The 25,923-nt window shown below is 35.7% G+C and overlaps 1 protein-coding gene across 3 annotated transcripts in view, besides 1 other annotated feature; it reads right to left on the reverse strand.

Annotated features, from left to right (window-relative positions):
* Nucleotides 1–25,923, reverse strand: part of GABRB2 (gamma-aminobutyric acid type A receptor subunit beta2) — a 259,969-nt gene that overhangs the window by 20,194 nt on the left and 213,852 nt on the right. For 2 of the 3 annotated variants that reach the window (NM_021911.3, NM_001371727.1), the window contains 2 exons: nucleotides 22,254–22,498; nucleotides 17,739–17,852 (listed from right to left, as the gene is read on the reverse strand). In NM_021911.3, the coding sequence (NP_068711.1) occupies nucleotides 17,739–17,852; nucleotides 22,254–22,498 (359 nt within the window). The remainder of the gene's footprint in view (nucleotides 1–17,738; nucleotides 17,853–22,253; nucleotides 22,499–25,923) is intronic. The other variant, NM_000813.3, reaches the window with a different exon arrangement.
* Nucleotides 2,683–2,912: an enhancer, noted in NCBI's record as "active region_23574". NCBI's record gives its function as "activates an Ori minimal core promoter by ATAC-STARR-seq in GM12878 lymphoblastoid cells {active_cell/tissue: GM12878}" and the evidence as "EXISTENCE:reporter gene assay evidence [ECO:0000049][PMID:35858748]".

Below are 25,923 nucleotides of genomic sequence, written 5' to 3' on the forward strand. Positions count from 1 at the left end.
AATCAAAACAGCATGGTACTGGTACAAGAACAGACACATATACCAATGGAGCAGAATAGAGGACCCAGAAATAAGACCACACATCTACAACTATCTGATCTTCTACAAACCTGACAAAAACAAGCAATGGGGAAAGGAATCCTATTCAATAAATGTTGCTAGGATAACTGGCTAGCCATATGCAGATGATTGAAACTGAACACCTTCCTTACACTATGTACAAAAATTAACTCAAGACAGATTAAAGACTTAAATGTAAAACCTAAAATGATAAAAACCCAGAAAACAACCTAGGCAATACAATTCAGGACATAGACACAGTCAAAGACTTCATGATGAAGACACCAAAAGCAGTAACAACAACAGAAAGATTGACAAATGAGGTGTGATTAAACTAAAGAGCTCCTGCACGGCAAACAAAACTATCAACAGAGTAAACAACTTACAGAATGAGAGAACATTTTTGCAAACAATGCATCTGGCAAGGGTTTAATATCCAGCATCTATAAGAAACTTAAGCAAATTTACAAGACAAAAATAAACAACTCTATCAAAAAGTGGACAAAGTACACGAACAGACACTTTTCAAAAGAAGACACACATATGGCCAATAATCATATGAAAAAAAGCTTTACATCACTGATTATTGGAGAAATGCAAATCAAAACCACAATGAGATACCATCTCACACCAGTCAGAATGGTTATTATTAAAAAGTCAAAAAACAACAAATGCTGATGAAGTTGTGGAGAAAAAGGGATGCTTATACACTGTTGAAAGGAGTGTAAATTAGTTCAACCATTGTGGGAGACAGTGTGGCGATTTCCCAGAGACCTAAAGACAGAAATATCACTTGACCCAGCAATCCTATTACTGGGTATATACCCAAATGAGTGTAATTTTTTATATTATAAAGACACATGCACATGCATGTTAATTGTAGCACTATTCACAATAGCAAAGACATGAAATCAACCTAAATGCCCATCAGTGATAGACTAAATTTTTTTTTTTTTTTTGAGATGGAGTCTCGCTCTGTTGCTCAGGCTGGAGTGCAGTGGCGTGATCTCGGCTCACTGCAAGCTCCGCCTCCCAGGTTCATGCCATTCTCCTGCCTCAGCCTCCTGAGTAGCTAGGACTACAGGCGCCCGCCACTATGCCCAACTAATTTTTTTGTATTTTTAGTAGAGACGGGGTTTCACCGTGTTAGCCAGGATGGTCTCGATCTCCTGACCTCGTGATCTGCCCATCTCGGCCTCCCAAAGTGCTGGGATTACAGGCTTGAGCCACCGCGCCTGGCCCTAAATTTTTTAAAAAAGTGGTACATATATACTCTGGAATACTATGCAGCTATAAAAAAGAAAAACGTTACATCCTTTGCAGGGACATGGATGGAGCTGGAGGCCATTATCCTTAGCAAACTAATGCAAGAACAGAAAATCAAATGCTACATGTTCTCATTTATAAGTGGTAGCTAAATAATGAGAACACATGGTCACATTGAGGGGAACAACACACACTAGGGCCTTCTAGAGGATGGAGGGTGGGAGAAGGGAGAGGATCAGGAAAAAACTAATGGGTACTAGGCTTAATACCTGAGTGATCAAATAATCTGTACAACAAACCCCCATGACACAAGCTTACCTATGAAACAAACCTGCACGTGTACCCCTGAACTTAAAATAGAAGTTAAAAAATAGAGAAATGAAAGGAAAGTTTTCTTGAAGCCTTTGTATAAAAATAAATCTCCATCTCTCTTAGATATGAATGGAGAAACATGAAGCCTTGTTGCTACTGGAAGCCACCTTATCTCAGAACAAGAAATCATTACCAAGATTTCTGGCTGGCTTGCTTGTTTCTCTCTCTCTCTTTCTTCCCATGCCTATGCATGATTTTTCATAGGCCAGATACATTAAAGATGAGTGGAAAATCAGAAAAGCCTCATTATCACAAACTCAAAATTGCAATCATTTCAGTTAAAATTCAACCTAGGACGATGGCATGGTTTCTTTCGTGTACACACACATGCACACGCACGCGCACGCGCGCACACACACACACACACACACAGATTTTTTAATATCTTTTTCAAAAAATAAAAAACTTCAAAGAAAGTTTAAAGTTATGCTACAGCATTTTTTTTTTTTTTTTGAGATGGAGTCTCGCTCTGTCGCCCAGGCTGGAGTGCAGTGGCGCAATCTCGGCTCACTGCAAGCTCCACCTCCCAAGTTCACGCCGTTCTCCTGCCTCAGCCTCCAGTAGCTGGGATTACAGGCGTCCACCACCACGCCCGGCTAATTTTTTGTATTTTTAGTAGAGACGGGGTTTCACCGTGTTAGCCAAGATGGTCTCGATCTCCTCACCTCGTGATCTGCCCGCCTCGGCCTCCCAAAGTGCTGGGATTACAGGTATGAGCCACCACGCCTGGCCGTTATCCTAAAGCAATTTTAACAAAAATGCCCTCATGTAAGTCCCCTAGGTTTTGTCTAACTGCTTTCATATCTTTGATCTCCTTGCCATCTACACCATTAGAATATATTTGACATACCAGGCATGGACTTCCTCATCTCATGGATAATAAAACTAAAGGTCCTGAGAAATATTTTTCCACAAAGTTGCAGAGCTTTTCAGAGACTTAGCTAGGCTGAGTAACCCTGGCTTCTTGAATTCAAATTGGATTCTATGGCTGCCAATAATAGAACTGAAGAAAGATATTTTAAAACAGCTTCACACGCAATCTGTGATTCAAATGTGCAACTCAGATAGAGAAATCTAGATTTATATTCCAGCTTTATTTAGTCCTAGTTCTACCACTAACTTGGTTATGTGACCCTGAGCAAGTCACTGAAATTTCTGGGTTTCAATTTCTGTACGTAAAAGTGAAAGAGTATCTTCAGGTAGGTTTCCTGTTCTTAAACCTGTGTTAGGCACTGCTAATTGACCAGCTGGTCTCAGACTCAACTACAGAATCCTCAGTGTAGTTCTCAAGGCAGCAACCAAGAGATATTCTGAGTTGGTACTTCAGGTATAACTCATTTACATTTCCTAGGATGGATCTTTGCTATTTAATTTAGTCCACAGATCAGCTGCTTTGGCATCTCTGGGAAGTTTTTTAAAAATGCAGAATCTCAAGCCTTACCCTAGACCTACTGAATAAGAATCTGCATTTTCATAAGATCCCTAGGTCATTTTTATGCATGTTAAAGATGAAGAAGCACGGGGCTAGATAATATCTTAGATCCCTTAAAGTTATAAAAGTCAATGACTATAGGATTTATAAAACAGGTGTTACAGGGAAGAATTTTCCAAGAACCTTGGTTACCTCTCCAAGTCTGCTAAATGGTCTTCATCTATTTGGTAAAGGGTAGAAGAGTTAATCAGTAATGTTTTGTGTGTGTGTGTGTGTGTGTGTGTGCTCCCCTTTCAGAATGCTAAATCAATCTCAACCAAGGTACTGACTAAACCCTCAGGGGAGTCTAAGATGTAGAGGGAACTATGAATTCACCTCACCCAGGGATGCCTTGTGCAGCTGCAGTCTGATGGCTTCTGTGCATTTGGCCAATTACACAGTGAATTACCCCAGTGAGTATTCGTCAAATGCACCATCCGCTCTCACTCCTCAACTCCCTTGTTAGAATTCTTGTTAATTTGACACAGCCTTGTCAAATATCTCTCTCTTTCATTCTAACACCAAATTACCCTTAGCTCTGAGATCTGAAGATGACGGCAGACAGTGAAAGTTGCTAACTTTATAAAACATAAGCTGCAAGTTGAGTTGGGAAATTAAGAAAATTATAAATTTAGAAAGGTAAGAAGGAAGGTCAACCCCAGCTGATAATCTGATGCTTTGCCAAAGAATAAAATCTCAGCTAGATTCTGGGTCAAATATTGAAAACTCTCAAAACAAAACAAAAAATACCTGGATTCAAATCCCAGGTTTGCCACTAACTAGCTGTGTGAATGAATACGTTACTTTTCTCTGGGCCTCAACTTTTTCACGTTAGTAAAATTAGAGCACATCAGTAAAACTGAGAATATATCACCTAGTGAACCAGCAAGATTTAAAGTTTTGTGAGCATCGAGTCGTTTTGGAAATTTGCCGAAATTTGTATTATTAGGCAAACAGAAATTCTGATTCAGCAAATCCAGGGATGAGGGACTTTACATTCTTAGATTGTTGATTCTGATGTTACAGTCTGAGAATGAACCTCTCTATAAAGTGCTGTTATGGGGCAGTGGACGATAAGAGATAACTCAACCAGAGCAGCTCCTGGCTTTATGTAAGCTCTTGGTAAACACTAGCTTCTGAAAGACATCATTAGCAGTCCAGATAGTGGAAGTGGCTTGCTCGATTTTACACTGTGGGTAGGAGAAGGGATAGAACCTTTTCTACTGCACCGGAATGGTTTCCTTTGTGCTAGCATTTCTCAGATCAGCTTTGTTGGAACAATGCCAGGGACTGAGGAAGGATGCAGGTCAAGCTGTTATGTCCTGTGAAGTCAAGGAATGAGAAGCAGTGCTGCAGAATGAGCCCGCGATACTGGAGGCCTGGAATAGAGTCTCGTGTTTGTTATATAACTGCTCTGTGACCTTAGACTAGTAACTCCCTCCTCTAGGTATCAGTCTTTTCATTTACAAAATGATAGAATCCTTTAAACCTCTTTCCAGGGTTAAATTACTGTAATTCTATGGTAGACACATACATTCTGGTTGGACTGAGCAGCTCTTTGCGCCCCTCCCCACTACGTTTTTTTCAGATGGAATGTACCTTTTACTGTGTGAATCTTTTCCTCAACATGCATCTGAAGAAAACACCTCCGTCCTCTGAAACTCAGCAGCATGTATTATCTGTACCATAGACTATTCATTCTGATTAATGATTCAAAAAACACCACCACCGAGACAGTGGACTGACTGCCGTTAGACTGAGAGAGCCAATGCTACTGAATTTAGAAATAGATCTTAGGAAAATGGGAAAAGTCAGAGTTCTGCCCTTGTGATCACTTTCCTGGTAGATATCAACTTCAAAGTTACCACCTTCCAAATGGCAGCTGCTGTTCCAAGCACTTCCCCTGTGCTTCTTCATGTGATCCTTAAGACATGTTTCCAGGGTGGGACTGTAAGCCCCATTTTACAAATGAGGGAACTGGTGCTCTGAGCGCTTTCCTATCCTCACATAGTGATTAAGGGACAGTCTTGGGGCTTGGATTCTGGGCTTTCTCCAATCTATAATCGAGTAGGTTTGATTATGTTCAGGACTGCCCGTGCTCTTAACTGTTGGCTTGGTCTCCAAGAGGATTAGTTTAATAAATATTTGCTGATCAACACATTGGTGATGTGCCTCCCAAACTTTGTGAGAAAAGTTTCGTGTTATACTGCAGCTGGCTGCATCAGGGTAGCAATGTGAAGCTGAAAGGCTCTCACGGGAATGCAGCCCATGTCTGTGGCTTCAGAGACCAACATTTTCCACTAAACAACTGAAGTCAACAATCCTGGATCACGGGCTAAGGAAATCTGAAATCCTCTGTCACATGTGAGGACTCACTATTACAGTGTGCTTTCAAGGTGGCAGCTGGGGTTAGCAGGCTTGCCCTCTCATGACTCATAGATGCTTAACCTGAACCCTCTTTAGGGAGCCACAGTAGGTACCCTCTGACTCAAGGCAGCATGCCTGCTTTAGTGCCCTTGAAACCGGTCCAACTTCCAGAAATTTTCTGCAGTAGAAGCTAGCAGAAGTGTTGAGAGGCAAAGAGACAGCTTGTTTATTGCTGAGGGAGATTTCAGGATTATGTCAGGTCCATTTTTGTTATGTCTCCCTAGGTGCCCTTTGCCAAAACTAAGTAAGCATCAAGTAATCCTGCAAACCTCTTCTCAGCAGAGGCCATAAAAAGTTCCTAATTTCTATAGGAGCACAAGACTTGCTGGAGGTATTGTACTTGTTTTATTTTGACAAAATAATTGAATATAATAATAAAATGGTAATAAAAAATTAATGCCAGCCCTTGATTCCCAAAGCTGTTCATGGAAAACAGTTTCTCTCTCTCTCTTTCTCTCTCCCCCCTCTTTCTGCCATCTCCCTTCCTTCCTCCCTTTGTTCTTTCCCTCCCTCCTTCCTTCCTTCCTTTTCTTTCAATAAATAGTCCATAATCTTTCCAGAATTTTCCCAGTGAGAACTACTTTCATGATACCAGAATTTCCTAGGATCTGCTATCGATATATTGACTGATAAAAAAGGAAAGAACGAAATAAATTAAATGTTAATAATATATGTAAGTCTCATACTAACTTTGGGGGGCTTTAAAAAGGTAATCTTTGTCTTAAGATTGAAAACTATGGCACATTTTTCCTTAAAGGCTATGTTAATAATCCACTAGAGGTGGATTTGGCTTCTGGTAGTGATCTAGTAATATGGTAGAAGTATGTTAGTATTGTTGTGTTTCAAATTCTAGAATAAAAATTGAGCATAAAAATAGGCAAAATATTACTGCATGCTTTGAAAAAACCACATGGCATTACATATAAACTTTTAAGTGATTTATTATATTTGGTTTAGTGCTGAGCTAGGTATTCTGACAGAATAAATATGTTTACAAAATTTAACTTATTGATTGTGATTCTTATGCTTGGAAGAAACCCAATTGAAAGAAAATTAGTCATAGTTAAGTCTTTCACTCTTTGCAGGGCAGGAGATGTCCAGGTTCACTGAATCAGGTGCGATTTAGAGAGAAACTGACTGCATTAATAAAATACATGGCAGGAAGATTCAAGGGCTTTGGTCCTGGGAGCATGTTTCATCAATGACTTCCTAGGTGTCTTTTTTCATTTTCTCATCTATAAAATGGGGATTATATCTACCTTCTGTATATCTAGTGATTATTGAGATAAATGAAAATGATATCAGGACCCATTATTATTATAATCTAATGTGCCTGACTGCTTGGTTATTTATTACTTTACAACTTAGAAAATATATAATTTGCATTCTAATTTATCCAGTGTAAGAAGCATCTTTTTATGGATTTTTAAATTATTATTTGTTATAGATACATAGTAATTATACATATTTATGGTGTACATGTGATATCTTGGTACATACAATGTGTAATTATCAAGTCAGAGAAATCAACCACCTCAAACATGTATCATTTCCTTGTGTCAAGAACATTTTAGGTCTTCTTGCTATTTTGAAATATACGATAAATCTTTATAGATGCATCATTTTTAGGACAGAAATCACATCCGAAGCACATTAAATTGTTGCTAACACGAGGAATTATTTTATAATATTTCTTTCCATAGACATTTTTCATATTTCCAAAGGGAAACTTGTTAAAGCGAATAGGTTTTAAATAACAGTAAGATGTATACTCTTTGTAAGTGTATATAAATTGTACATTAATTACCACTCATTTGTAGTAGAAATAAATGAAAGTAGGTTTAACTGAAAGGAGGTAATGAGACTGATGAAATGCAGACAAGGAAACAATGAGTATCTTAGAGCTATGTAATTTTGAGGTTACTGGATGAGATCTTGATGATCACATCCTTATTTTTTGACAGAGGTTGACATTTCTGATATCACATATATGGCTCCTCAGAGTTGAGACCTGAAGCCTGAGACTCCTGAACCTCAGTCTGCTGCAGTGAGGTAGATAATTAATTTGTCTTCGTGAAGACCCATATCTGCAGAGCCATGAGCAACACTGCTATAGGTACATCCAAGATTGGAAAAAAAAAATATTAGAGGTGACTTTGTCTAAATGTGTCACTGGAATCTTGACTCTCTGGTGATAGCATTGCAAGAAAGGCGGTCAGCATGGGTTTGCCTACACCCAAGGCAGGGCAGTTACTGTTCAGGCTTAACTATTCTTTCTTTTTGTTTATTTTTACTTTCCTTCCTCCTTTACTTCTTTCCCCTTTTTCTCTTCCTTGTCTTTTTTCCTTTCTTTCTTTGTTTCTCCCTCTTATTTATTCATTCATTCTTTCTTTCTTTTTTGACATAGAGTCTCACTCTGTTGCCCAGGCTGGAGTGCAGTGGTGCAATCTTGGCTCACAGAAAACCACCTCCATCTCCTGGGTTCAAGCGATTCTCCTGCCTCAGCCTCCTGAGTAGCTGGGATTACAGGTGCCTGCCATTATGCCTGGCTAATTTTTGTATTTTTAGCAAAGACAGTGTTTCACCACGTTGTCCAGGCTAGTCTTGAACTCCTAACTTCAGGTGATCCACCTGCCTCGGGCTCCCAAAGTGCTGGGATTACAGCTGTGAGCCCTTTCATTCTTACTTGACAGCGATAATCATTAGAAATCACTAGAAACGTTTAATGTGCTATTTACATGGGGTTGTAATTATCTTGTGTTACTCCAGTTAAAGGCTATATAAATTGGAAAAAGTAGGAATTTTATTTGTGTGTAGTTTGCATGTGTGTGGCAGGTGTGTGTGTGTGCGTGAGAGAGAAAAAAAATGACAACGTAATGAAAAGATCATACTGGCAAGAATATGCACACAGACACACACTCACACGCTTATGTATTTTAAAAGTGATATATACTAGTTGTAACAATTACTCAATATGAGTACAGTGTATGTTATTTGGGTGATGGATAACCCAAAAGCCCTGGCTCGACCATTATTAAATGTATGCATGTAGCAAAATTGCATCTGTGCCCCATAAATTTATACAAATGAAACAAAAACAAAAACAAACACTTTAGAAAGATATAAAGAGAAAAGCAGAAGTGCCCCTACCATCCCGTCCCACTCTCCAAATGTAACCACTGGGGAAAAGGTTCTAAAATAAGTGAATGATGCTTGTGTTACTCATTTTACTTCTGGAAAAATATAAAGTTGATCATTCTTGCACTAACAATAACTCATCGTTCAAGATGCATTAAATGCAAAACATGAAACAATAAATTAACTATTTTAAAAGTCTCAGAAAAATTTAGAAGAGCATATGCTTAACCTAGCATTCCAAGAGGAATTCAGCTATTCCAGAAAACATACAGAGTATAATAGAATAAGTACATGGACAATTTAAAAATTAAAAACTTGTCATAGCATGAATGAGAGTTTGGGGAAAAATATCTGAAATACACATATTAATAAATGTTAATATTTTATTATACCTAGAACTCTTGAAACTGAAAACAAAAAAAGCCCTTAATAAAAATGGGTAAGAATAAGAATAGGCAATTCACAGGGAAGCCAATTCAAACTGTGTATGAATGTATGAAAAAATGCTTAATATTTTAAGAAATATGATAAATACAAGTTAAAATAACAAGATTATACCCATTATAAACTGCAAAGGGAGAGCAACAATCAGTGCTGCTGAAGGGAAAGTGAGAAAGAAGTTCTTATAGATGCATAAATCGTTATATATATGAAAAACTTGCAAAGTACTGCTGGTGTTTTTTTTCTCAGGAAGATTGGGATTCAGAGAGTTTTACTTTCTTATATTTTTGACTATTATGTAAATGAAAGTAACCATGTGCTTTAAAAATGTAATTAGAAAGAAAACAATATGGTCACTGTGAAAGGAAAAGATTTATCTGATAAGATTGGTAAGAGAGAGAGAAAATATATATAGAAATTAAATATTTTTGCAAGGTTAAGAATACTATCATTCTTTTATAGAGTCTGAATTTTCTGCCGTGTTTCATCTAATCCATGTTTATTCAAACATTTATACATGATTTTTTGCCTTTTATGTATTTCTGCCTATTTTTAGAAAAATATTTCAATCTTTGACTTATCTAAAATTTAATTTGGAGAAAGGGGTAGGTTAGATATATGGTATTATATTTAAATACTCCCAAATCATTGCTCACTGTTTATTGAATAATTCACAGATTTCCAATGATATGAAATTATACTTTTATTAAGAACTTAAATTTGTTATGCTCTAAGTTAATTTATGTTTCCTTTACATAGAGAACACTGGGCCAGTGCTATATTGCATTCACTGCTGTGATTTTATCAGTCACTTAAACTTCCAGTACAAAAATTCTTCTCTAAAATTTTTCACTTTCTGGATTCCTCACTTACATACTTTTCTTTCAAATAAACTTTAGAGTTATTGGGTCAAATTTCTACAATAAACCACCAAAGAAATAAAATCAAAAATAAAACCCATTGGTTTCCAATGACATTACACAAAGCTCATAGAATACTTTAGAAAAAACTGATCGCTTATAAATTTTACCTTTAAAAAATACTTTAAAAAAACACAAAGTTTTCTTTTATTAAAATCTTATTACTGTGAAAAGGGCTCTTTTCTTCCCTTCCATTACATTTTTGTTATTGTTTATATATTTTCTATATAGGAAAAAAGCTGTGGGAACTTCCCAAACTTCTCATATTGTTTCTAAGTCTTTTGCAGTTCATTCCCTTAAATTTTGTTTGAATAAATTGTCGTTGTTCCTGTTTAAGAGTAAAATTATTTCTTATCCTTTTCCAATATTCCTTACTTTCCCTAATGTAATTTTATTAGCTGTTTTTTTTTTTTTTAAATAAACAATAGTGGTGATGGCGGGCATCCATTTCTTGTTCTAGCCTGAACTGTTCCATCCTAAGCCAAGAGGCAAGAGTCAGAGTTTTTCATAAGACAGGTAGATAAAGAGAAATAAACACAGAGACCCAGGCAAGGAAGCATTCTTCACTTTCTAATTTCCTAAGAGATTTTAAATTTATAACCAAGAATGAATATTAAATTTTTGTTAATTTTTCTTAATGTCCTTTTTGGTATCTATGGAAAGGCTATAATATAAAAATATATTATATATATTTTATATATTTATTTTATATATATATAAAGTTTTTCACCCTTTCAACTCATCTATATGGAAAATGTTACCCTTATAATTTGAAATAGCACTCTGTGGTTATGAGGTAGTTTGCTTTCTGTATTTTCCTGATTTCAGTTGAAAAATCAATTTCAAAAAAATTTTCCCCACTAATGTTCACCAGTTAAGTGGGTCCATTGTTTCTTTCACATGCTTTTGTTTTTTGAAATATAGTGTTGGTACCTTATTTACGTTATGTGACCATCTAAATCATTTGGAAGTTTTTCCTTCTCTTTGTTATTATTTACAAGAGTTTAAATACCACTAGAGGTATTTGAATTTTCATGTCTGATAGAATTCATTGTTGAAATCTTATGGGCTAGATGCTCTTTTTGAGTGGGAGTTATATTTTTCTGTCAATTTTGTTAAGTTCATCTTTAGTTAATTGGTCGTTTTTCTTTTCTATTTCATCTAGGCTAATTTTTTTTCTAATTCATATTTTCTAAGGACATGATGAATTATATATCCACATTTTCTAAGATCTTTGCATAGTTTTCTTTTAATTTCCCCTTAATGTTTAATTGTTATGCTTTTAAAAATTACTGCTTTGGTATATTCATATTGTCTTCCTCTTTGTTTCCTTAATAGCCTTTTCCTTTATCGATTATGTCTTTATTTTACTTGTGGGTTATTTTGATTTTCTAATTTGTTAATTTATAATTGATCTTGATTATTCCTTCTGCTTTATTTAGGTATTTTGTTGCTGAACTTTTTCTAACTTCTTAAATTGTATGTTTAATTCAGTTTTTAAAATTACTTGCTAGAAAGATGTTTTAAGCTATGGCCATCTCACTGTTAACTAATTTAACCACACAACTGAGGATTAATTATGTAGTATTTAAAATTAGTATTATTTTCTAAATGTTCTTCAATTTAATTTTTATTGTATCTTTGACACACGTGACTTGTACATAAAAGAGTTTATACAAATAGTAAAATTTATAATTATACCACTTAATGTTTCTGTCATTTCCTCCTTTGATTTCCTATCACTTCAATTTATTTGGATGCTCTTTTGATTTAAATTATATGATTCATAATGATTATATCTTTATTTGGGATAGTAATTATGATTATAAAACTATCTCTTGGTTGTGATACTTTTATCTTAAATTCATCTTTATATAGTAATAATGATCAATTCTCAGCTTTCTTCAGATTTGTAATTGCCTCATTTGTTTTTTCCCATGACTTTATTTAGAACATTTTCTAATACCTTTACTTTAGAAATATCTCTATTATAAAGCATTTTGTTGGATTGGTTGCTAGATTCAATCTGAAAATCTTATTCTTTTCATAGATGAGTTGATATATGCTCTACACAGAGAAGCTTGGCCTTAATTTTGTCATCTGAATTTATGCTCTAAATTAGCTTTCCAGTCATCTTTATCTCTATTTCTGACATCAAGATTTAGCTACATCATCTGTATCTTTCTTCATTTCCTTCAGGTTATGAAGGGTTTTTGCAAGATTTATCAGTTTTTACATCTTCTACTATAATGGTCCTCAGGCTGTCATGCTGTAGTGTATACCACAAAAACGTGGGACATAGAAAAATGTAGATTACTAAGCTTTCCCCACTAAAGATTTTGATCTATATTTTCTCAGGTAGAATCTACTTTTAAGCAGATGTCCCAAGTGACTCTAGGTTGGCAATCTATGATAGATCCCTTGAGAAACACTGTCATAATGGTGATCTATGTTATCTATGCTAATTTTATTATTAATCTTTAACTTCTGGATTCATAAACTCTAAAAATAAAAGAGTAAATACTAAGTTCCTGTTATAAATTAGCAAATGAACATCTCCTCTCTCCTCAAAAATACCACTGCATAATTTTAGTTTACATCATAAGATTATTCTGCTGTTTCGCTGTTCTTACACATATTTATTATCCAGCTTTTTAAAATATTTCAATTCCGTTTTATTTGGAAACCTTAACTCCTGGACATGTATAGCTTTAGTTCTACGTGTTATCTTTAGTTCTAAATGCCAGTACACTGGTCTTTCCTGTTCCAAAGTTCCTAACTTTGACGACATTTTACCAGAGGCTAGATTGTTATATTACAATATTATTTCCCACAAATAAGGACTCACAGAAGCTATTCCTTAATACCTTGCAAATTGAGGATAAAGTATCTTTCATTTGTCATTATGTATCAATAGTAATAACTTAGGTTATACTTTCTCCCTCTCAGAAACTTATAAGAACTTTTCCATTGTCTAACGATATTTAATATGCTGTGGAGTATACTGAAACCTAACTTTTTTTTCTCCCTTGTAGGTCATTCACTTTTTCTTAACTGGAAATTGAGTAATTTCAGAGGAATATACTAAGTAGTTAAATATGTTGTATAATTTTTAATCTTGGAACCCATTACATCCTTTTAAACTTGTTATACATACCTGTAAATAAATTAATTAATGTAATTATTTATTAATTTCAAACGGTGCTAATAGGTACAGCAAAATTTTTCCAGGGAACAACCTGGCAATTAGCAGGATTAATTACTTTCATTATATATATGTACAAATACAGAATGTACATCATAGCAGTTAAATATGTAGCTTCTGTAGTCATATTTTCTGTTCAACCACTGCTTAGCTATCTAACATTAAGAAAGTTAATCATGTTCTCCAGGTCTCAGCTCACTACTCAAAAGAATATAGTAATAAAAATATGGGGTAATAATAAAAACTGACATAATATATGTAAATTGTCTAAGCATATAGTAGGTATTCAAGAAAAGTTTATTATGTTATTATTATTATTGTTTTGAGATAGAGTCTCCCTCTTTCACCCAGGCTGGAGAGCAATGGTGCAATCTTGGCGCGCTGCAACCTCCACCTTCGAGGCTCAAACAATTCTCCTGCCTCTGCCTCCCTTGTAGCTGGGACTACAGGCATGTGCCACCATACCCAGATAATTTTTGTACTTTTTCTAGAGACAGGATTTTACCATGTTGCCCAGGCTTGTCTTGAACTCCTGGGATCAAGTGATCTGCCTGCCTCAGTCTCCCAAAGTGCTGGGATCACAAGTGTGAATCACTGTGCCCGGAGAAGAAGTGTTTATTATTATCAGCATTTTTATAATTAGATTCTGACATTAGACTTAAATATTTTTTTCTATTCCATTTTTTTCCATTCTTTACTAACATTAAGGTTCTGCATGGTTAATCCACAGTACCTGTTCTGTATATTTATTATGCTTCCTCTAAAAGATTTTTATCCATACAACTTTTTCCTCTGCATTTGGCATGATTTACTACAGCCTGAACTTTGTGCTACTGCCTTGATTTTTTGGCCAAATTGATTATCTTTCTTACTGTTTTAGATTGGTTTGTTAGTTTCATAAGGATTGCTTTGCCTTCATTTTCTCTCTTTTAATCGCTTCTTGTTTATTATTTTATTTTTGATTTTTGGTTTCACATATTCTTTCAATTTTGGTGAGAAAATATTTTGTTACAGGAAGTTTTAATTTATCTTGAAATATACTTTTTAAATATACTTTTAAAATACTTTTTAATACATTTTTAGTATCTTGAAATATACTTTTTTTTTTTTTTTGAGACGGAGTCTTACTCTGTCATCCAGGCTGGAGTGCAGTGGTGCGATCTCGTCTCACTGCAACCTCCACCCCATGAGTTCAAGCATTCTCCTGCCTCAGACTCTAGTAGCTGGGATTACAGGCGCCCGCCACCACACCCAGCTAATTTTTTGTATCTTTAGCAGAGGCATGGTTTCACCATGTTGGCCAGACTGGTCTAGAACTCCCGACCTCAAGTGATCCGCCCATCTCAGCCTCCCAAAGTGCTGGGATTACAGGCGTGAGCCACCCGCCCAGCCAAAATATACTTTTTTAAAAATATAAGGGTCATTATCTGTCTTTGCATGTTGAGGTCTTCTCCTTGCCTTCCCCATGTGGTGGTTTTCTCGCATAGCTGTCATGCTGTTTCTTTGTTTAGATGCTTCATCTTGATGGAGACATTGCTTCTGGGTTTTCCCTTTATGTTCACTTATAATTTAGGTAGATTTCTTCTGATTCTGCTTGCGCTAATTATGGGATCTGCTTATGCATCTCTGCATCTTTGCAGAGCCTCAGTTTGAGCTGGGTGTTGATAGTTTCTATTTTATTTTTCTATTGACATTTTATTATTGATGGCTTTTGGAAAGAGAGGATAGAGACTAGACATGGGATTTTGGAGTCTACTCTCTCTCCTCTTCTCCAGCACTTATCACAATTGGACCAAGTTAAACATGTTTTCTGTTTCTTCCTCATTTGTGGGAGTGCAAGGTAATTGTGTGCGTATACACTGTGTGTATGTGTTTATATGTATATGTGTGTACTACCACACTCTCAGATGGCTATTAGGTATGTAAACTATCATAGAACCTTTCTAGTGAACAACCTGACTACATATATCACCACTTTAGAGTCATATAACTTTGAACCTAGCAAATCCATTTTAAGAAATATATCAGGAACAATGGTGTGTAAACCTGTCAGCAATGTGATGTTTATTTTATACTTGTTTATAATGGAAAATCACTTAGAAACAATGCAAACATCAAACAATAGGTGCTCATTGAATATATGTTAAATGAATTATGGCATGCACATTCAATTACATATCTTATAGCTATTAGAAATGGTGTATACTTATACTAAAAGATATGAAAAGTTAACTGGGAAATAACTGTATACAGAAGAGTAGAATATGATTTTTATATAAAATATGTCATTAAATGTGAATAAAAGGCAATGTTGATAATGATTATATCTGTGTGGGAGTGTGCAGGTGATTTTCACTATACTTTGTGTAATTTTAAGAATGACCATGAATTTGTTTTGTAATCAGAATAATAGTTATAGAACTAAATAAAATCTGAGAAAGACACACAATCCCTGGCACCATCTCCAGAATAATTACAACTATTATTTGAATGTCCTTTGCTTGGTACTACATAAGGCCGTTGGTATAATTATCTCACTTATTCTTCTCAGCAGTTGTATAAGACAGAAATTAGTAGTTTTAGTTTTCAGTTGAGGAATTAAAGCTTGGAAAGGTTAAACATGTCTAATGTCACACAGCTTATAAATGACAATGCTTGAATATGAACCCAGTTCATATAGCTATAAAATCCACTAATCTTCCCAGTACCTTTTGCAATTGTGACATATATCTTGATGCTCTTATAGGTTATAAGTTTACTAGAAAGCTTGTTATTTGAACTTTCAAATACTAGACCTTATTTCATAGTGTGAACTTAAAAGAGGACTTAAAGGACAGCATAAAGACATAACCAACATAGAAAAGTATAAAAACAAAAGACGTTAGAATTCATATTTCAATGTAGAATTCATATTTTCATTGAACATTTTTGTTAATATGATATTTTATGAGATAGAGGAAGAGGTCTTAACAAATTAGTGTTCAAATCATGGGATAAGAGAGTATTAACGCTTTCAAGCCATCAACTGCACACTTTAATGCACCAATGAGCAAATTTTCAAAAATATCCTCATCATCTGAGGATATCCTGAATTTTCATGTGGTTTTACCCAGTCTTTACAATAATCATGTAGTGTGTTTGATTTTCGTTTTCAGAAATACAGCCTTCTTCAATCATTTTCATCATAAATCCAACTTTCATACATGTTTTCTTCTACATAATTAACAATTGACCCAGAATAATGCCCAATCAAATCAGTCTACTTTAATTTCAACAAGCGTAACTAAAGTTAAAAAATAAGGACAGCAGCAACAACATCAATGAGATAGTCTGAGAGCACAGACATAGTAGGTGATGGAATGTTTAGGGGATTGGAACAAAAAATAGTGATTAACAAAATTTCAAACATCTCTTCCATAATTTAATTATTACTATTTACTAGACTTTATTACTATATAACACAAGTAATGAAGTCAAAAAGTGACAAAATACCAGCACAAAGGAGCAATTCAGTAGCTTATCCATTCTGTCCCCTACCCCAATGGCAACAACAATGATGTATTAAAGATTCTGGAGTCAAAGCCACAAAATTAAGGGATAGCCTGATACTTAGAAGATATAATAATGGAAGCACTTCTGGCATCAAGTCCTCATAGAAAAGATTCACAAATATCCAATATCATTTGCTAAACACTGGAGTTGAACAAGTAGTAGATGATAGGGTGGAATGGTGACAATTATCATTTTCCTCCTTCAATTTGGAGGGCAATATGAATGACAACTTGCCAATTAAGATCACCAACACATGAGGATTCAGAAACTAAACTATGAGTCAAAAATAGGCTTTCTTTAGAGTTCATTTAAGTCAAGAGTTTTGGTAAACAACAATGTCAATTATTGGCTTTTATCTATCATAATAATGATGAGCCTGCCAATACAATACCTATTTGTGAAATAAATAACAAGAAATCAACAAGGACTTGATGCAAGCATAACATTCTTAGACACAAGTTAGTAATGTAGACAAATTTCTGAATTCTCAGCCAACCAACAAAAGAAATGTTTAATTCACCTATTCAATCCAAAGAGTCTGAAAAAAGCAAACACAACAATAAAACTAAGAAATAATGACACTCTTGTCCTCTCAGTACAAATGAAAAGGATTCTCAAAATACGATCCATTTAATTTCTTTCCCTAACACAACAACAATTCCTGAGTGAAACACTGAAGCTTAGGTTCACCAAAGCTATACTGAAAAAGCAAACCTAGGAAAGTCCCACTAAGGTCTCCTGAAAAAGTTTTAACTTATCCCCAAGACTCTGTGGATACATGTTCATAGGTTATCTGCAAAGATCCCACACATTTTTTAAGGGAACAGCTAAACAAATTGGCCCCAACAGAAATACAAATAAATGGATTAAAAACTGGCTATCTAACCGTATACAGAGAGAAATCGTAATTGGTAGTCCGTCTAGTTGGGGAGAGGTTTCCAGTAGGGTCCCACAAGGATCGATATTGGGTCCCATTTTGTTTAATATCTTTATAAAAAATCTGGAAGACAAAGTAGAGAATGTGCTAATTAAGTCGATTGATGCTACTAGATTAGGCCTGATGGTTAAAGTAAATTGGATATAGATAAATGCTACTGGCCTTTAGAAATCCTTTAGATAAAGGCTAACAGAGAATGGGAATTTGAGTAAGTTTTTAAAAAATGTTTTGTTTTAAAAACATCAAATTCCAAGCAGTAGAAATAAATTGATTGAAAATATCTTAGTGGCTTTACATTAGAAAAGATTACACACAATGGATAAAGACAACACAAAGAGTCACAGCACCCATGAATGCAGAATAAAGAACACCCTTAAATGGAGATCTCTGTGGTGCAGCTTTAGTTAGAAAACTGTTGGCTGCAGGTGCATTTGATATGTGCAAATACCACGGTGGTAAAAAGGCAAGAATAACTTGATTCTCAAATATGCGTGTTCTTAGTATTTGGCAGAAAAATAAACAAGGAAACAATATAAAGCTTAAAAGAGAAGTAAGGGGAGTTGAAACTTGAAGCTACGGGCAAGAACAGTGGGTGAAATCAATCAAAAGCAAATTCCATTAGGACACACACACACACACACACACACACACACACACAAACTAGAAGAATGCAAGGGAAAATAGGAAAGACTCTCCTAGCATTAGAATAAAGATCATGTTTAAACTACTCCAAAGGACACTTGGGAAAAAATATTCAGTAGACCTCATGTTGGTTTAAAGTTTATTTTTAAAATCTTAGTACTTTACTACTTAACTTGGCACATGAAGACAACGGTGAAAGTGACACTTGCTTATAAACTTTCATGTGCAGGTAGCTGGGATTTTTCAGGTGAAATCAACTGAGTTGGAATACATAAACTAACATGGAATTAGCTTTTCAGTTTTTGTTTGTTTTTTACTTTTATTTTTTATTTTATTTTATTTTTTTTTGCCAGCACACTTTTATGTACACTGGAGAAGGATAGAAAAATCCATATCAGAACTTTTAAAAGCTTGCTATGTGACCTTGGCTATTTCACCTTCTTTAGGCACATAGGCTTTTACGTCAGTGAAATGACAGGACAGGAATTATTTTAAGAGCTGCAAATTCACTTATTAAAACAAACATTTAAGAGACGCTAATACCAAAAAGAGGCTGAAAAAAATGCGGTAGCATCTGCTGAATCAACACTGGGCTCCCACCTGGGCAGGCTTCCCGTTTTCAACCCTCCCTGACCTCAGGACAGAGCACAGTTCAAAAATCACTTTAGATAATCTGACACACTCCTTCCATCTTTAGGAAATCACCAAAGGAAGGTGAAAAATTTAATCCCACTCCTGATTTTCCCAGAGCAGCCAACAATGCTTAGCTGATTATAAGTGCTTGATCTTGGAAAAAAAAAAATAACTATAGAATTACAGTTGAAAAGAAGGGACATTCTTGATAAGAAATGGGGTGGTATTATTCATGATGCTGACACAAAGGACAGCACCGCATAATCAGGAGCAATGTGGACCTCCTCTAACCTTTCATGCTGGGTGAACAAAGAAATAGTGGGAGTCTGGAAAGCTTGATGGTCAGCATTTTGTTTTAATCTAATCAAAATGGGTTGTAGGTTTTCTGCTCTAAGAAATAATTAATAGAGTTTGATGCAGTTGATTTGCTATAGATTTTATAGCTAATACCCTTTGAAAAATGATTTTCTTGATTTGACTTTAAAACTTCTAACATAAAACATTCCTGTCTAAACAATACACTGCTTTAGGGATGCTACTGCATTCCACATGGTAGAGCATATAGAACACACACGCTAGCATCACCAATAAGTATGGGGACTGCAAATTTTATTTTAAAAAGTAATAATGCCTACCACTTATTATATTTTAATATTTTATTAATATTTATCACTTCCTGAGTGCTTACCATGTATTGAGGACTATATTACCCTCTTTGCACATTATCACAATTATGTTCATGAGTAACTTTATAAGAGAGGAATTAACCCTGTTTCACAGATGAGAAAACTAAAGGGCCAGAGAGGCTAAATTTTTTGTCTACTGTCACCCAGTTGTTAAATGGGAAGGTAAATATTGAACTTGAAAGACTCTAAAATATTTGTTCAGAACCATTGTTCTAAACCATGACTCATGATGTCTTGATTCTTACACATGCTGCTCAAAGAAAATGGAGAAACAACTTTGCTAAAGAATATTTAGACGACAAGGATATTATTTTTTCAGTACCTCAGTTTCTCATGTTTGAAAACAAGAAGTTACAGGGAAGCTATCCTGCACACTGCCAAATGTGTAGCAGCAACCTGGGCCTCTACACACTAGATACCAGTAGTAAACCTCATCCTATAGTTTTTACAATGAAAGATGTCTCCAGACAATGCCTAATGTCCTCTGGGAGAAGAAAATGACCCTGTTTTGAGAACCACTGAAAAATACTAAATAATCTCTGGTATCTTTTTTGTTCTCTCATATTCCATCACTTGAATGGTAGGGTCTACCTTCAACCAAGAGGATAGGCTTTTCACCACTATGGGGTAACTGCCTAGTGAACTTTTCTCTATTTCCGTTTTAGAACTATCTGAAGCTCTGCAGGTTCAGTTTGTATAAAACCTCCTCCCTCTAGGTCTTAACTTTATCATTTAAATGCAAATTGGTATAAAAAATAGGGTAGATGAAAGTGAAGAGATCAGATGTTATCTTATTAAGTCAGCCTTTCATTATGCAATTGATTTAGACTCATTTTGAAGTCCTATGAGATAGCATTATTTGTTTGTTTATTTATTTATTTATTCTCTTCTCTTCTCTAAGACTACTATGTCATGAAAATCAGAAAATAGGTTTAGAAAATACTCTTTCATTTGACAGCCTGAGAGAACCATAATGGTAAATTGTGATTCCAATAAGTAAAACCTTGGGTGTGGGAAAGAATTTGACAATTTCCTAGACCCTTACGGTTTTTTGGTTTCCAAGGGCCATACTTAAAATTTGCATTGTTGCAAATATCATCTTCTAAGCAAGAAGTGCCTTGGATTAGAGAAGAGTCTAAAACCAAATATTAGACCTATGGATATGTGAAAAACATTACTGAGTTAGAAGCTTCCATATGGTTTGCTCCAAATACAACTCAATGGCAGAGATTATTTATACTTTGCTATCCTTGAAATTAATTTGAAGTTAGAAATATCAAAACATCAAGGAAATAATCAGCTTTTGTTATAATTAATAATTCCAAATGGTTTAAGAGGATTGATTAATGTTTTCCTAGTCCCATCATGATGAACTATTTATTGGTCCAATATTAGACACTACTTCATAAACAGTATTTAGGGCAGATATGAAAATAAGACTTTTCTTTGGCTATTGCTAAAGGTCTAAATGTGGCCTCTGGGAAGATACATATACAAGTATTCTGTTAGTGCAGCAAGTGCTATAACAGGAAGCCAGGTGAAGTTTAATATTGAGAGTAAAGAGAGCTGGCTCTACTGGGACTACCATCAAAAACCTTAAAGTGGTGATTCTCAAATTTGGATGCAGATTAGAATAACTTGGGGAACTTTTTAAAATTGTGTTGCCCATGCTTTCTCCAAGAAAATCAAATCAGATTTTCTGGGGAGGGGACCAAGGCTTCAGTATTTTTTTTTAATCTGTTCAGGTCATTCCATTGGCACCCATGATTGAAAACTACTGACTTAACAAATAAACAGGGTTTATAGTTTTGTGGGAATCTTTGACCATGTCTGACTTAAGCAAGATGGTGGCCTCATATAGTCAAATGCTGCAATGATAAGTGGTATATGTGCAAGGCATTGTCATTTAAAGGAGAAAATTATTTGTCTTTTCCCCCTTACTCTTCTTATGTTCTTCTGATCGCTTCAAAGAAAAAGTCTCAGTTTGTTGCTTGGTGGGTCTGTAACACATCTGTATACTTGCTTATCTTTCCTTTAAGTCAAAGAGAATGCAGATTTCAGGGCCAGAGACTTCATCTAGTATAAATTAGAACTTAATGATATAGTTTTTTAAATTTGTTACTTATATATTTGTAAAGCTATTGTCCAGCAAGTAATACTGACTGAAGCAACATTAAATTTCCTTTTTAAATAAATTAGGTGAATAAATTTAAAGAATGCATAAATAATTATAGGTACTATACTCAATATGTGAGAAAGCATCATAAAGGTCTTCTCATGTTTGGTCACTCCTCTTGTTAATGGAAAGGGCATCCAAATCTTGTGTCATGAGTTTGGTCCCTAATTGTGCTTCCATCATTAATTGTTTGTGTGCTTTGGGGAAAATTACCCATTCTCTTCCCTGGGCTTGGTTTCCTCATTTGCTCAACAAGGTCATCAACCTGTATTGCTAGCATTCTTCCATGAGTTTAAGAAGCAAGGAGGGCTTGCCCTCTGAATTTACCTTGTTGACATCCAGGCGCATCTTCTCATTGTTGGCACTGGCAGCCTTCTCAGCTGCTTTCTTTTGGCGTTGGGGCCCCCTCCCAAAGAAGATGTAGTTGACTAGGGCATATTCCAGAAGGGCCATGAAAACGAAGACAAAGCACCCCATCAGGTACATGTCAATGGCCTTCACATAGGGGATTTTAGGGAGAGTTTCCCGGAGGTGGGTGTTGATTGTGGTCATTGTGAGGACAGTTGTGATTCCTGAAAAAAAATGGGAGAGTTAGAGTAATAATGTTCCTATCTCTTTTCTTCTTTCTTAATAGCTGGAAAGGTGATCTATATTCATTTTCTCATTCATATATGCCACAATCTATTTATTGGGCCTTTACTATTGCATGCCAGCCCTAGGATAGGGAATGGATATAGGTATAAATTAGCTTACAGTGATCACTGAACGTTTGATCCCTTCTTTTAATTAAATTTTTGTATTTATAGTTATATATCTAGTGCGGGGTTAAAACGTGAATTAAATGCTATGATGGGCACATGTGTAAGGTAAGAGTTCAGAATATGGAGAGGACTCTAGGTCAACTTTCTGATGTGCCAGGGATGAGGTTAGGAAATAGAGACTTTTGAGCTGATTTCTGAAAAATGAGTGAAAGTCACCCAGGCAACCCAGAACTGGGGGTCAAAAGTCATTTTTGACTTATGGGGACTGCTGGTGGAGAGAGCTTTTATATCAAGGTTGGATTTGGGGGAGAGTACACAGTCCATTACCATGATCTCGGAAAAATCATTGTGGGTACATTGCAAGACAGGATGGGAAGAATCGTGAGAAGACTGGAGGTTAAGGGCCATGCAGAGAGCCTAATGGGGGAGTTTGAACTTAAAATTAAAGGCAATGTGGAGCAGGGGCCAGCTTCAAGCAAGGGGGCAATTTGCATTTAGAACAATCACTGTGGTGACAGTGTGGATGATGGGGAGAAGCAGGCATGGCAGGAGTAAAGAATGCCAGTTGGCCGGGCGCGGTGGCTCACGCTTGTAATCCCAGCACTTTGGGAGGCCGAGGCGGGTGGATCACGAGGTCAGGAGATCGAGACCATCCTGGCTAACACGGTGAAACCCTGTCTCTACTAAAAATACAAAAAAATTAGCCGGGCGTGATGGCGGGCGCCTGTAGTCCCAGCTACTCGGGAGGCTGAGGCAGGAGAATGGCGTGAACCCGGGAGGCGGAGCTTGCAGTGAGCCGAGATTGCGCCACTGCACTCCCGCCTGGGCCACACAGCAAGACTCCGTCTCAAAAAAAAAAAAAAAAAAAAAGAATGCCAGTTAAGAGGTTTTCAGAGTAATCCAACTGAATGATGGAAGTGAAGTCAATTAAAATAACAGCAAGGGTACTGAAATTAAAGAATACATTATACAGGCAATATCAATAAATGATTATAAACATCTGGGAATTTGGAGTGGAGGGTAACAGAGAAGCAGGAATCATAGCCCTCATGTATATGGATCGGACAATTAGGCATATAATGCCTAGATAAATAACACAGATGCATTCTAGGACTGCTTATGGAAAATGTGACACTGGGTCAGGCTGTAATTGTTTGTCCTGTTGAGTTGGTATCTCTTGACAGTGGGAAGTAGTTTCCCTCTAAGCTGTAATCGGAAGGTAAATGCACTGAAAGTCCAAGGTCCTGAATATGATAAAGTCCAGCTTTGTAGCAAAATAGTGATGTGAAAATAGACAAAGCTCAGAGGTCAAGATCACACAGATGGAAAGTTATAGAGTTGCCATTGGAATGAGAATCTTTCTGACTCAGGAATCCAGGCCCTTAAACACTATCCAATAACGCATCCTGAAGGTTAAATTTCATTCCTATGATTTTGGGGGGACACAGTTTTCTGATTTAATTTTATCTCAGTAGTAATAATGTCATAGTTTCTATTTTGTTTTTATACTCCACCAAGAAACAGCTACAGAATAAAAAAATAAATCTGAGCATTTGATTCTGAGCACGCCCATAAAACCTTGGTCTTGCTTTAGATACAGGTATCTTACATTTCTCGTGTCCTCTTTATAGCTGTCATTTTGAGACATTTTCCAGTTTCAATTTTCTCTTCATCATTTCAACTACGGATGATCCTGTATCATACGTATATAATAAAACTGACATTGCTGATTTTACTACTTATCTAAATCTCATTTTAAAGTATTTCTGAAACTAGTAATAAATTGCTCACATAAAGACATTTTAAAAATGTCTTCTAAAAAGTTAATGAATTATTTATTGTTCCTGTAATCGATACAAAAAAGACATGTTTCAACTTTGGAAAAATGGGATATTTGCAAATTTTATTCCTTCTTTCATTCAGCAAATGTTTACTGAGCACCATTCCCCATGCAAGACACTGCAGATATAAAACTAGATATGGACCTTTCCTCCATGGATCTTTCATTGCTGAAGGGGAAAAGGACATCACACCACTAAGAAAACAAAAGTTATAACTGTGGTTAGTCTACACACAGGGGAGGTCTATGGTACTGCAAGTGTATATATCACAGGTGCTTGACTCAGCCTGAGAGGTCATTTCTTCTCCTTCCTCCCATCCTTGAGCCACATAATTTAATTTTAACCCAGTAGCCGAAGTGATCCCTTTAAAACAGAAATCAAATCATGCCACTTTTATGCTCAGTCAATGGCTATTTCATTCAAAATAAAAGCAAAGCCTTTGTCGTGGCCTACCATCCCTTTGTAATAGCCCTTTTGTGATCCTTTAGGCCTCTTTCCCTAACATTATCTTTGCTACTTCCCCTGAACTCACTTGGCCTCATTAGCCTCCTGCTGACACTGTTGGTTTGTTCCTACCCAGGGCCTTTGCAGTCATCTGGAATATTATCACCCAGGTATCCACATTGCTCTCAATCTTCAAGTCTTAGTTCCAATGACAACTTCTGAGTGAAGTCGGCCCTAATTATTCTAAACTGAACTTCTAGCAAACCCATGCCCCCTTGCTTTATATCCCTCTATAGATTTACCACATTGTATAATTTATGTGGTTATTAAATTTATTGTATATCTTTTACTGCTAGATATAACTTTCAGAAGACTGCTCTATCTCCAGTGCTTAGTACAATTAGCATATATTAGGTATTTAACAATTACTTGTTGAATAATAAATGAGTGGCTCTTCTAAGAAAGTAATGATTGAATTGAGATCTAATGGTAAAAGTGAACAATTCAACATTTTAAAGGGAATAGTCAGAATCCATAATAATCAAGATCGTGTAAAAGGCCATAAATTTACTTTATCTGAAGTTAATAACAAAAATGTTCATGAAATGTAATTTATTCTCCTTTTGTGTTTGTTAGAAAAAAACAGCATAAGATGAGAGATGCCACAGATTACTTCTCAATATTCTTACTTTGTTGTCTCCTGCCTTAGTCATGCTACTCTGAAATGTTAACAAGACTTTAGAATTCTTTCTGCTTATCCATTTGCTACACACAACATCTTCTTGTCTTTCATGGAGAAAAAAACGTAGAAGGGAGGTCTTCTTAGGTAAAGAAGCACAGATACAAATTGAACAATTATGCAAGCAATACTATATGAAATATGTTTCAATAAAAATATCAAACTGATGGGACTAATCTCATTATCAACAGATATACGGTTAACTAATACTG

The sequence above is a fragment of the Homo sapiens genome, chromosome 5 (assembly GCF_000001405.40).
Source record: "Homo sapiens chromosome 5, GRCh38.p14 Primary Assembly".
Classification (NCBI taxonomy): domain Eukaryota; kingdom Metazoa; phylum Chordata; class Mammalia; order Primates; family Hominidae; genus Homo; species Homo sapiens.